At 37.6% G+C, this 14,320-nt stretch overlaps 1 protein-coding gene across 2 annotated transcripts in view, besides 1 other annotated feature; it reads right to left on the minus strand.

Annotated features, from left to right (window-relative positions):
• The window catches only part of PRLR (prolactin receptor), a 181,732-nt gene that overhangs the window by 153,548 nt on the left and 13,864 nt on the right, over positions 1-14,320 (minus strand). The window lies entirely within an intron of this gene.
• Positions 144-438: a silencer, noted in NCBI's record as "tiled region #5567; HepG2 Repressive DNase unmatched - State 12:CtcfO, and K562 Repressive DNase matched - State 12:CtcfO". NCBI's record gives its function as "represses a minimal TATA promoter and a strong SV40 promoter by Sharpr-MPRA in HepG2 and K562 cells {active_cell/tissue: HepG2 | K562}" and the evidence as "EXISTENCE:reporter gene assay evidence [ECO:0000049][PMID:27701403]".

The following is a 14,320-nucleotide window of genomic DNA, read 5'->3' on the forward strand; positions in this document are numbered from 1 at the left end:
ACCTGATTCACGGATCAAACCGTTCAGCACAGTATTCAAGGCTTTTTACAATTTGACACCAACCTACATTTTCAGCCATGCTTGCTGTCACTTCTTCTCCTTGTGATTTGGTCATCAAACTATTTGCAATTGCCCAAAATATCAGGGATGTACAACTTACCCTCAGTCCGTCCGTACTGTCTCTCAGAATCCCCTCCCTACTCTCTGCCTACTTGTTCATTAACTGCTCCCCCTTCTGGCCATGGCTGCATTTTGTCTGTCTCCTCCACTAGACTGTGCTTAGGGAGACCAGAGAATACTCACCTTTTCATATTGGTGCCTGGTATACAGACTGGCACATAGTGGGTGAGCAACAGCTATTTTTAAGTAACTAAAAGATTAAATTAGTGTCTTTTAGTTAAGTCTCTTAAGAATGGTGACCATAATATGTCTCCTTTCTACTTTAAAAAAATATGTGAGGGCATCTGAAAGTAAAGTAATAATATACTTTATTGCCAGTAATATAATGACTCACTAAAGACATGAATGTAATTTAGCCTTAGGCCATTCTTACATTCCTTTGAAAGCCTGGAAAAACGTTCAAGTGGCAATTACTTGATGTGTCCCTGAAAATACCAGTGCAAATTCCTTTGTTAATAGAGTATCTGTCCTCTGACAATCAAATAGGGACGTGTTGCAAAGTGAGCCCCCCATTGGCCTTGTTCTTAGACAGGTTGTAAATCCCTGAAGACTTCTCATAGTCAGCTGTGTCTGGGTAAATCTTGTTCCCATAGGACACTGGGGAGAAGAGAATGTCTGAGCTGGCCATTTCCTCCAACTGGCTCTGAAAGGAACACCAATTACCAGTCCACCTTGTTGACATGTTACCTCAAATGCTTTCTTGTTTGAGAACAATTCTTTCAGAAAGACTGAGCTGTCCTTTTCTATAGGCAGTAGAGAAGTGGATGGATTCTTATGCCATAGAACTTAGGATCTTGGCAAAATATGGCTAAACTCCTTTAGGTACCTTTAAATATCTGGTTATGCCAAGGGTGATAGTGGCTACAGCAGATGTCTTGCTCAGCAGAACATTGTGTTGAGTGTGTAATTAGAAAGACCAACTGGATGGAAGAAAAGAGACAAGGAACCAAGATTTCTTGAGCTTTCTATCATGGCCAGGGAAAGATAGTTGGAATTATTACCCTGAATTTGAAATCATCACAGGAAGGCAGACATCATTCTTTGTGCCAGAACTTTGGACCCAATGTCATTCTTCCTATCTGTGGCCTGAAGGAGAGGGGTAGAGAAACCTACTTAATGAAACTCCAGTGGTTGGAGGTGTTAATACAGATCTGATGGGTCTCTGTGCTCATCGAAGACTGCTTTGCTAGTAACTTGTCAAACATCCATTACAAAGCAATAATTCATAGGAAAGAAGCAAAGTATTAATAAGAATTATTTCTTGAATATGGTTTACTAGTAGCAAAGCTCCCCTTTTCATTTAGTGGGAAAGCATGAGAATTTTGAGCCATTACCAAAAGCTCAGCATTGCTATACTAAATATTTAGGTAGTTGAGCTTTCCCTCATTGAACCATTCTCTTTGTTTGGTAACCTTGGTGTTGCAAATCAAGATCGAGAAAGTCGGATTGATTTTTTGAGGGTCACAGTAGTCACCAAAAAACAAAAACAAAAACAAACCCAACAACAAAAACAACACAGCTCTAATTTTTATTGGTGGTAACAAGAAAAAATCATTGTGGGAGGGACATGTGTGTTTCTTAGAAATATTGTTGTATGGGACAATGTTTTCATGGTACTTAAAGGAATGTGTATTTCAAAGGCTAATTGTGTGAAACTTTTCTCTCAAAAGAAGATCAGAATGTTGCGCCGTTGTATTCCAGCCTGGGTGACAAGAGTAAAATTTCTGTCTCAAAAAAAAAAATAATAAATAAAATGAAAAAAAAAACATAAAAACACACACAAGAAGATCAGAATGTAATGTTATCTTACTCTTGAGTTGGAAAGTATCCTGGCCTGAGAGTATATAATACTCAAGTGAGAAGTTGAGATGTTTAGCTATGCCTTGCATCTTATGATGAGGATGGGGATGGGCCGCTTTCCTAAGGGAGCAGGGCTTTGGGATTTCTAATAAGCAGCAGAGGGTACTTACAGGATGCCTTAAGAGCTGTGCTGAAGATTCAGCCTTAGTGTCTGGGTTATTTAGCATTATTCTTCAAAGACACTCCTACCTTACCAATCCTATTACCCCAGTGGAATAATGCAATCTAATTCCAGTTTCAAAGGATTTCCTGGTAGCCATAAAGAACATAATTCTAAGAAATAGAAAAAATACATTTGTGAGAATCAAAAGATTTTTTAAACAACCTGGAAGAATCTTCACAAATTCCAAAGACTCAACCCACCAGCCTTACACATGACAATGCTAGCAGTAGAAGAAAGACCTTAAATTACCCACTGAAAAAGATCATGTCTTATGCATCTCTATATGTCGACTTTCTAGTAAGGCACCTGATACAACATGGGGTCTCAATAAATATTGACTTGAATTCAAGTGATACTCAAAGATGATAACATCACATCTTTGGAGACATATACTTAATCACCCTTTGAAGAAAGTGACACAAATATAATAAGTTTCCTGACACCCTTCTTCCCCAGGACACTTGGTTATCTATTAAAGGATTTTCCTGGTGAGAGAGCACTTACAAATGCTAAAGGCTGCCAGAGAGTTCATTATGTGTTTGAATTTCTGTATGTGTGTAAAATCGGGAAACATGTTATTTATTCATACTAACTTGGACTTTATTAAATGAGAAATTCAGCCAAGATTCACAGGAAATATATGTAATATATATATAAAATATAAGATAAAAATCTTAAAACCGGAAAGGACTTATGAAGATGCTAGATTTCTGGGAAGAAGTTCCAATCTTCAACTATGCTAAAAGATAAGAGGTGGGGGAGGAGGGAGAAGGAAAATTCTAGATAATACCAAACTCCAAGACCTACAGTTAGTCCATAGCCAGAAACTTGGAAGACATGTTATGACTAACATTACCCATGTCACTGTAAACCACAATTATTAGCCAATATATTATTTGCTGTTGGCAACAAAACCAAATTGTTGGCTTCTTCAAAGAAAGTAAGTAGACAGTTCATTCTTTGCCTAAAAACTGTTCGGCTATCCTCTGCCAAATAGAACCATTTCAAACAAGCACAGCATCCCTTCTATATCTGTATGAAAATTCTCAACTCTCAGAAAACAATGAAATTGGATGTTAGAAGACTGGGCAGTGGTGAACTGAATCCTGGAACACACATCTAGCAAGTAAGGACTATGGGGGTTGGGCTGGGAGAAAGAAAAAGCCCCTAAAGAAGAACATACCAAAGATGATGACTTTTTATGTTCTCTATTTTGCCTCCAGGAGAATAGGCAATGGAAGAAAAGAAGATCCTATCTCAGTGCAGAAAACTACATCAGTAGCATTCCTGTTAGAGGCTGATATTGAACTAGGACATGTCATTCTGCCCTCCAGCTGTAGGCCAGGACATTTAGAGCCCAGTACATATTGAACAGGTTTAAGAACACATTACATATGCTCAGTGTTCAAAAATATTGGGTCTAAGTAGATTGATTTTTATTCCTAGACGAGTAATCATGAAAAATAAGTAGCTTAGACAGTGAACAAAATTGTCTAACAAGAAAACTGAAACATCATCTTAATGTCAATGTCAGAAAACTGTTTATCATCTTCAACTGAAATAGAAAATACTGTGGAAAAGGACAGGTAGCCATTATGAGATAAAAGTAAGGAAGGAAAAGAGTGCTGGGTTAGATTAAAAGGGGTTGTAGAGGAGCCAGAAATGAAATAATAGTACTAATTTGTCCACTGAAGGCAGTAAGGGGTAAAACTGACACTATAGTAAACAGAATCAGGCACTTCTCAAAATGTAGATGACCTACATTATACACCCTAAAAGGATAAATGGGATAAAAGGTGGCGAATCTTAAGATATTAAAATTAAAAAGTAAAAAAATGAGAAATTTATGGTATAAAAAGACAATAGTTATGGACACAGAAATCAGATAACCATAGAACTGCTCAGGAATGTATTGTAAAGGATTATGTTGCTGAACAGATCACATAATTCACAAAAGAGAAGTCATATAATATAAAATATTTACTGACAGTAACATGAATAAAAAATGTTAAATTATTCTTACCAATACTGAGGAAAGGTTGGAAGGAAGTAAAAATGGATTAAATTTCTTTTGATGGGGTTATTCAAAGATAACATTTCATTTTGAAGTTGATTAGAAAACTGTATGGTCATGTCTTTGACTTTGCTAAGTATAAGATATGGATAGAAATGTCTTGGAAACTTTAAGTGTAACCACTTGTAGAAATAAAAAGAAGGGTGACGAGCTTCTCAATTATTGAAAAAAATTAAAAGTAAACCCAAATCATAGTCCATATGGCAAAAGAGAGATCAAACAGAAAAGACAAGAAAGTATGAAAATTATTTTTCTAAAAAAAGAAAGAAGATCAAATTAATATAATTTTGACTGTCATAACTGATGTAAAATTCTAAATGAGGGAAAAATACTTCCATAGTCAAATACATTTTAGAAATACTGGGTTAAACTCAGTTGAACTCATCTCTTTGTTGCAGATCTCATCTTAATATGTTAATATGAATTAAGAATGCCTGGGAGAGAGAATTTTCATTTGTCGCATTTCCCAAGTTTATTTTATTAGCTTCCACATAACACACTTTTAAAAATGTTATGTAAGAGGTGTTCTTCTTGAAATTGATATTAAGACAGGACGCTCACTATTATCATTGTTATTTAGTATTAGAAGTTACGATCAATGCTGTAAGACACCAAATAAAAATTAGATGCAATTTTTGGAAGGAGAACAATTATCATTATTTAAAGACACCATGATTATAAACTTTTATAATTAACTATGAACACTTATAATTAATTATAATCAGTTAAATAATCAGATAAAAAGTAAATATACATCATTAATATTTATCCTGTAGTCCAGTAATACCAGAGAGGAGATAATGGAAGAAAAATCCATTCATAATTAAAAGCTAAAATTATAAAAGAAAAAAGAATACCCCGTCAATAAATATGCAGGACCTATATGAGTAAGACTATAAAGGCTTAAAAAGAAGTATAAAAGAATTGAGTAAGTGGGAAAACATTCAATGCTTCTTGATGGGCTGACTCAATATTAAAAAGAATGTCTGTTCTCCTGATTTAACACATTCCCAATCAAATTACCAATGGGAGATTGTGTGTGTGTGTGTGTGTGTGTGTGTGTATAGAGAAGTCATGTAATATAAAATATTTACTGACAGCAACTTGAATAAAAACATCTTATTCTCCAAAAACTGAAAAATGGTTGGAAGAAACACACATACACATATATACATGTATTTACACACATGCATATACACACACGTATGCTTTTGTGACTTTTGAAATTATTTTAGAGTTTACTTGGGAGGACGCATTGGCAAGAATAGGTAAATCAATTTTGAAAATGAAAAGTGATGAGAGGATGCATGCATTACCAGTTTAGACGTTTCATTAAACTCAAAACCAGTGTGGTGTTGGCCCAAGAATTGATATAGCAATAAAACTAATTAGATTATTCTGGAATAGACGGTATGCTATGAATAAGAACTTAATATACACTGAAGCATTGCTTGTCCAGTGAAAAGGGATGAGTTATTCAACACATCCTCTGCCCAACATCATTGTCTTTCTCTCGGACTGCCGCAGCCTCCCCAGTGGCCTCCTGCTCACACTTGACCACCACCCTGCCCTGCTCCTTCACACACCCACGCGCGCGCACACACACACACACACACACACACACTCCATGTTCTGGGGAAAGAGGACCTTTAACATTTAGGACACTGAACAACACTTTCACACATACTGTTTCCTCTCTCTAAATTCATGTTGCCATTTTCCTTCATTCTCAGCTAGAAGGTTGTTTCCTTCCAGAAGCCTTCCCTTATCCCCCAGGTCCAGATCAGGTACTTCTTCCCACCTGTATTTCCTCTTGCATAGCTTGTAGTATACTATTTTATAATGACCTGGTTTTGTTTGTCTATCCCCTCATTAAATTGTAATCTCTAAGTGGCAAAACCACCTGCACCTTGTTTTTCTGTCTTACCTCTTGTGTCTCGCTTAGTGCTGAACACAAAACACTCAATAAGGATGTGTTGAATCAACAACTAAACTGTAATCACAAATGAAAAAAATGAACAAACTTCAAGCCACAAAAACTTATTTATTTGTCAAAAATACTTTAAACAAAATTAAAAGACCAACATCAAACTGGGGAAATATTTATAACAAGTATTATGGAAAATAGATTGCTATCTTTAAGATGAAAAGGGTTTATTTTTTAAAAATTAAGAATTTTTTTACATCTATTAATGATAAAAAAATTAAGAAAATGTTGAGAGTCAAATAGAAATCTTAATAATTAACATAAAAAGGAAATCAATAAAAGAAGTATGAAGGGTAGTGAGTGTATGAAAAAATTAATTATACCTAGTAGTCAAAGAAATGAAAATGAATATTATTTTAAACTTAACAAATTAGCAAAATCAGTACATCCATATGACGGAATGTTATACAAGCTTAAAAAACAAGTTTTCAGGAATGATTTATTGCTACTTACATACACATATATTATTGACTATCATATAACACTAAGTAGAAAGAATTTGAAAAATATGTATACAATCTATTCCTGATTCTTTTTAAAAATGAGAGAGGAAAATATTTCACCATGTATCAGTGTTTTTTTTTTCTTCTGGGTGATGAGATCAAGATGATACCGATTTTCTTTATTTCATTCTAGAATGCCAAAAAAATTATAAAAATTTTAAGCCTACATAAGAATCCATTTTCCTAACCTTTCAGCAAATTTAGAAATCTATTCTGTAATATGCTGGACAGCTGGCATTTATATTCTTATGTAAAGTTACTTTCTTCCATCTCTTTAATGTACCAAATGAAATAAGCCTTTCTTAGATTTCACTTATCAAAGAAATGACTACATTTTTTCTGGGGCAAAATGAGTAGAGAGGTAGTCAACAAAAATAAAAAAAAGCCTTCAAAGAAATCCAAAGAGTACTTAAGACCCACTGTTCAGAACTGAGCAGTCCTGGAGGATAAACCAACTAGCTTTATCACTGGAAAGAATTCATGGAGATGAAATACCAAGTAGATGTTAATGAAAATTATGTCTATGGAATTCCTAAACAGAGGTTAATTAAAACTCCTTTCTCATCTTCTGAAGTATGTGCCAGAGATCCCACAGTATTAAAAGTCATTGGGGAGTGTCAATCAAGCTGTGTGGCACAATATTCATTTCCACGATCCAGAAGGAAAACGTATTCACTGTGCCATGATGGTATATGGGCTTGGGCCACCTTCTAGCCTATAATCTAAAAAGCATGTGAGGTAAGCTACCATCATTGTTTATACTCTTATCAACTGCCTTAACCTCTGTATAAGTCTATAGGCATCTACTCTGGCCTCCCACAATATTCTCAAAAGAGTAGCCTGAGTGGTTCTTTTAAAAACTACGCACGAGATCATGCCATCCCTCCACTTCAAATGCCGAAAAGGCTTCCTCTTGCTCCTTGAGAGCTTGGGGACTGGTCTCTCTCATTCTCCAGCTTCTTCTCATGTTTTATTCAGCTTGGCTCATACACACTGGGTTTCTTCATTTCCCTACATTGGCATGCTCCCTCCCACCTCAGTGCCTTTGCAGGTACTGAGAAAATTTTACCTTCCCATTTTGATCTTAAATCAGTCATCACTTTGACAGGGTTATTCTCCTACAGAATAATGTCTCTCTCCTTTGTTGTCCTTACCATACTTATAAATGCAATTGAATTTGATTGAGATCTCTTTCCTCAATATATTAGAAGCTCTGTGTAGGCAGAAACCACTCAGCTCACTATTATTCCCTTAGCCTCCAGCACAGTGTGCCTTAGGGTTTCAGAGATCTTTGTTTTATGAATTTTGCAGAATCATTCCCAAAGATGACTATGATATATTTTAATGTGAACTTCTGTACAAGACTTTCAATGACACACAGTTCCTTCTATAACTAATCTCAGTAAATTCATGCAAACTTTTCTCACAGAGTCAGGAGAGAAGAGGAGAGAATTCAGTGCAAGGGTAGATCTTCCCAGATCACAAGTAGAGTCCTGTCTGGGCAGCGAAGCTCAGTCTAGAGTTATTTAGCTCATTATGCTAAATTATATCCAAGATTTTCTCATTCTACAGAAAGAATGTGGTTTGTGTAAACTACTTGCATGGTTAGTATCCATCAGAGACAAACTCTAACCAGAGATCTCTTCCTCTTTTTTTTTGAGACAGGTCTAACTCTGTTATCCAGGCTGGAGTGCAGTGGCGTGATTATGACTCACTGCAGCCTTGACCTTACAGGTTCAAGTGATTCTCTCCCCTCAGTGCCCCCAAGTAGCTAGGACAACAGGTGCGTGACACCATGCTCGTCTAATTTTTTAATTTTTTTGTAGAGACAGCATTTCGCTATGTTGCCCAGGCTGGTCTCAAACTACTTGGGTGCAAGCAATCCACCTGCCTCAGCCTCCCAAAGTGCTGGGACTACAGGCATGAGCCACTGCGCTCATCCTAACTAGAGATATTGGCTCTAAGTTACTGCAGGATAATTTCTATACAAAGAAGGATTTTAGTTTTGTTCTTATTCCAACACACCGGAAAGCTTAACTGCGGTTACAATTAAGGTTTAAAGAATTACGGAATGCATTTGTAGCCAGTTTAGAGCACTTTGCAAAAGTCAATGTTTTCTTTTCCTGTAGTCCATTTTTCTCTCCCCTAAATCCCCTGCACTTTCTCAATTTCTCCCCCACTTTCACACTTCTGACTTTGTTTATTCCTTGCTATAGTCAAAAGGTACAATGGGGCATCATTAGGAAGAGGTGATGTGACCAACCTGGAACACCATGTTCCAGCCTAGTCACTGCACTTCAAGGACTCACAAGACCTGAAGAGACAGTGATGGAGGCATAAAATGTTCAAGAGGATGAGGAAGTGGGGGTTGTTTAAGGACAAATCATGAAGATTTGAACTATTCTGTCTGCAAAGATAAAAGCTATAACAGAATATGGTTAATACGAAGACAGATAGGGACAGGATAAATAGACTTACTTCCCAATACCATAATAATGTAAAATCCCTTGTAACAGAAAGAGTTACAAAAGGGGGAGAGGATCTGCTATATAACCTGATAGTTAACTTAAGATACTTGCTTATTGATGTTATTCACAAGTACGCTAAATAAGGGAAATTTTTTAAGAAATCTGTATATGACTTGATAACAGATTCATGATGTAGTATTAATATTGAGTAAATATTCATGAATTAACCAAATGTTCAGATAAATTCATGTATAATATGATACCAGATTCATAAAATATTAATGTAATATTGACTGACATATTAATAGGTTAAACAGATTTGAGGATAAATTAATTTGTGTTATTCCAGCAAATACTTGGCATTAAGAGAGTCTAGTTTTATTGAAACACAGCCACATTCATTCACCTATGCATTGTCTATGGCTGCTTTTGTGTGACAAGAGCAGAGTTGAGGAATTGTGACAGAGGCTATATGGCCCAAAAAGCCTAGAAATATTTACTATCTGGCTCTTTATGAAAAGTATTGCTGACTCCGGTCTAGAACACATTAGGAACATCCTTAATATTTGAGGTCCACATTAAGTAGATGAATATAAGTTCTTCTACATAATACCTCTTCGTAGGTATACAATTGGCCAGGGCAGCCATTTCTGATAATCATGTAGAGTCTGAAAAAATACCCATTAACCAGTCATCTGATCATCATGTCTTTGGAGATTCAGCAATCAAGTTAAAGATACTTCCTGAATTTTAGAAAGCTGGTGAGTTAGCAGGTTTTTGGTTATATTTAGCTGTTTTTGATGCCTTTCAATTCTGGGTTCCCCACCTACTAAGAAACATGAAATTGTTGGGAAATGAAACTCTGAGTACAAAATGATGTCATCAGATTAGTTGAAATTAAGGTCTGGGGCTTCTGATTTTTAGAACATAATACCATACTTTCCTGTACACCAAAGAGATTAGCAGTGCTTTACTCAGAAAGAAACCAAAATCATAGTTTTCACAAATAGGGACTTCCCTTTTTTCCCCCCAGTGAAGTCCCCTGGTATGAAATTAATTTGTATACATGTACTATAACATGACTTTGGTAATCATGTCAGTTATACTGCCTAAATGAAAATAATAATATAGAAGCCTATTCCATTGTTTGGACACTACTGTTCCCATTTTGCATAACCAAGCATGTAAAACATTGAATCCCCTAGCGAATTTAAAGTTTCTCTCAAAACTGAGGGTGGGAGGAAGTCATAGCAGTTCAGGGTCAAGATCTAAATTTTGAGGCATCATAATTAAGCTCTTCAAGTACAGGGCTCTGGCTCAGCAGCCAAGTCCAAGTATGAGATTCATTAAAGCATTTCATTTTCAACTGTCATTAACAGTGATCAGCGTCATTCCCCTACTCCCAATGAATGCTTGCCATTGGTTGGGCAAATTCACCCACAAAGAGAAAGTCTCAACAGCAGCTGCCTGCTTACACAGAAGAAAGATTCCAGAGTAGCTTAATGCTTTGCCACTGAATAATGCCCTAGCTGCTTGAATAATCAGAGCTACCTATCACATTGTACAATAATCATATCCTATCTAAAATTCATTGCTTCCAAAGGAATATATCAGTGAAAAATGTCCTGATCAACGACCACTTTGTAAAAGGAGATCCCCATGAAATACCATTGTGGGAAGTTTTACATTTGTACATGGATTTGCCAAGTCTTTATATAATCGGTCTTAGTGACAACACAGCGAGAATCCATAAGCATAGCTTATGCTTCAGCTGATGATTTCCCAAAGCCACATGTAATTTCTACTTTAAAAGAAATCCACAACCTTTTAGGTTATCACACTTGGATTATGCCTTTGATTTCAAAGCATTCCCTTTACATTATTCCCTTTACATTATGGATTCTCACCTTAACAATACAACTCAAGATATTTGGAGCTCATGTTACTGCTGTTTCTTTAGCTATCTGAGTTTTTTTTTCTGGGAATTTCATTATTAAATTCTTATTACACACTTTGCTCACAAATGAACGTTTCCTTTCTATACCACTAATCACAATAATATTTGAGGAATTAGAAGTAAATAGACAGAACCAAAACTGAACAATGAACAATAACAAGCATCTAAACCTCACTGTTCCTTTTGGTGCAGCCACCCCAGACAAGTGGCACACAGCTACTCAAGTCTGAGGGCCCCTCCATGTGGCTAGAAGAAGCCAGGCATCTTGCTTTTGTAATTGTTTGGCCTTCCAAGTGGTTTAGTGAGTCACAAAACCCATATCATTTCATCTCTCACAAATGGAAACAGGTATGCTTTGTTGGGCTGGTTTTCAGTCCTCAGTGCCTGGGGCCCAGTTCCTGCAGAGCACAGCTCCCGGTCCTGGAGGCCTTTGTCCAGGCTGAGGTGTGTCTGCAGACTCTCTTCTCCAGCAGGTAGCTATGCGTTGACCGGCAATGTGATTTTCCTCAGCACATTTCCAGCCTTCCCCGTTGTGCCTCTTGCTAATGGTGCTGATATATTTCTGAGCTTTTCCATTTGCCTTGGTTTTGCTAGAGGAAAAACAGGTGCTTCTACCCTTTCCTTATTTCTGGGAATTGTACACTGCCCAGCTGGCTCTGGTTTGCCTGCTGGCATCAAATGTGGGACAAATGGAGAAAGTATATTCTGCTAATCTCCTAGCTTCATCTCCCTTGAGGAGTTTTCCTCCATGCTTATCAGATCTGGGTTCCAAAGGCTCATAACCTAGCTCTTCAGATAGTATTTGGCAAGGACAGTGGCCCTGAAACTGTGCCATTTGTGGGTGAATGTACAAAGCACCAAATCAACAAACTATTTGTCATCATTCCATTGCCTTTCCTCCATGTGTTACGCACTGCTCGAACCATCCAAATACAAAGCAGTGCCACAGGAAAAGGGGCAAACGCATTGAGGATCAACTATAGATGAGAAGTTTCTCAACCATTGTCTTCCTCCACCCTCAAAAGGGCCTAGAATGCAGGCATTGATTTCTCCATTGTTACAAAGATAGAGCCTGAGGTTCAAGAGAAGTAAAACTTCCCTGGATCACCCAATTTCTCAGTGGTACAGGCTTGAAGCAAACACAGCAAAAAGAAGAAATGTATTCCTCTTGTATTCAGAGATGTGTAACAGTGGGAGAAATATCACATAGCTGACTCCATCTTGCTTCTAACCTCACAGGCTAACTGCCTTTGCTCATTCCTATACATAGGCCAAGCTAATGATGGAAAGAATTTAGATTATAGTTTAACTTCAGAACTAATGACCATCTCTCTTTTGAAACAGACCCCTGAGGAGATTAGAAAGTATGCACACAAATAACAATGCCATCTTAAAAATTTATAGAAACAAGGTCAATCTGGAAAATAGTTGACCATGAACAAAGAAGTTTTGCAACCTCCTAGATCCCTGCTGATGCCCAGATGCCTGTGGTCACCAGTCAACTGTGGACCTTAACCCCCTACCTATTCCCCCTTCCCCTAACATAAAAGGAGCCTAACAATCTATCAACTTAAGATGGTTCTTTAGTACATCAGTCTGCCATCTTCTAGGATTGCTGGCTCCCTGAAAAAAAGTCATCTTCCTTGCCCCAATATCTTGTCTTATTGGCTGTCATGTGGTAAGCAGTTAAGAGCTTTGGACTTGACTATAGAAGGTAAATTCTTTTATAAGGGCTGCCAACCAGAAGCATGTTGCTGGTTTGTTGGTGAAGTACAAGAAGGGTGTGAAATAGAACTGAGTGGTCAAGGATGTTTTAGGGCCTTTGAGGCTCATAAATTTCTACTGAGCTCAGACTCAACACTTGCCCCACATCCTTAGCATTTTACCCTGTTGACTGTACATGTGTTGGTGTCCCCCAGTAAATCATGAACTCTTGGTGAGGATGATAGTAATTACTCCCATGAATTGTGTGCTTCCTTGGTGCCAAGTGTTGTACATACCTTGTCTTGTCTTTTTCTCCCAGCAACCCTGGAATGTATGTTTTAGTAGCCTCATTGTACAGATGAAAAAGTGAGACAGAGAGGTAACTCACTTGCTCCACAGCTTCACTCCTGGAAAATTAGAGCTGAGATCTATGTTGTCTGTCTGATTCTAGCAAAAGTTCTCAGTTGCAAGATGTACAAAAGACCCTCACCCCTAGGGCAAGTTCTGGGTCCTTGGAAGAGTGGAATCCATTGCTATTTAGAAATAGAAGTAAGGGCCGGGCACGGTGGCGCATGCCTGTAATTGCAGCACTTTGGGAGGCTGAGGCAGGTGGATAGGCAGGAGTTCGAGACCAGCTTGGTCAACATGGTGAAATCCTGTCTCTACTAAAAAAAAAAAAAAAAAAAAAAAAATTAGCTGGGCTTGGTGACGCACATCTGTTCCAGCTACTCAGGAGGCTGAGGCAAGAGAATCGCTTGAACGCAGGAGGCAGAGGTTGCAGTGAGCCGAGATTGCGCCACTGCACTGCAGCCTGGGTGACAGAAAAAGACTCTGTCTCAAAAAAAAACAAAAGGGAAAAGAAAAAAAAAAGAAATAGAAGTAAGAACTCTGGAACTGAGGACTTTCTTTTCACTTAGCTGGATATCAACAAGGCTTCTGGAAATTGTAGTATTACACAGGCACCAGAAGAAGCTACTATAAGGTGCTATTGGAGGTTCCCACAGGCTCTCAAAATGTTTCCCTCACCTAGATCACAGTGACATTTCCACCAACAGAGACTTGAGGTTGAACCAAGTGCTCATTTATTGAACTATAGTGGGCTGAATGGTTTATTGAGTTCTTTGGTATATTCTCAGGAAGGTTCAGTTTGGAGGAGGAAGGGGTCTGACAGAAGAAAATAGACAACAAAGTGGGAGGGGGACAAGAAAAGGAGTTGGGGGCTTATGTGGGGCATCTTAGTAGAGTAAGCAGAGGTAAAAGAAATTCTTCCTGAAACACAGTAGGATGACAGTGGAGAAGTGAAATAAGCAGGTAAACTTATTCCTTGGGCCTAGCATACCACTCTGTGTGATCCTCTAGATGAAATACATACAAGTGGTCATTAGTGTGTGATGACCATGGACAACCTGGGACATAGGTCAACA

This window comes from Homo sapiens, chromosome 5 (genome assembly GCF_000001405.40).
Source record: "Homo sapiens chromosome 5, GRCh38.p14 Primary Assembly".
Classification (NCBI taxonomy): Eukaryota; Metazoa; Chordata; class Mammalia; order Primates; family Hominidae; genus Homo; species Homo sapiens.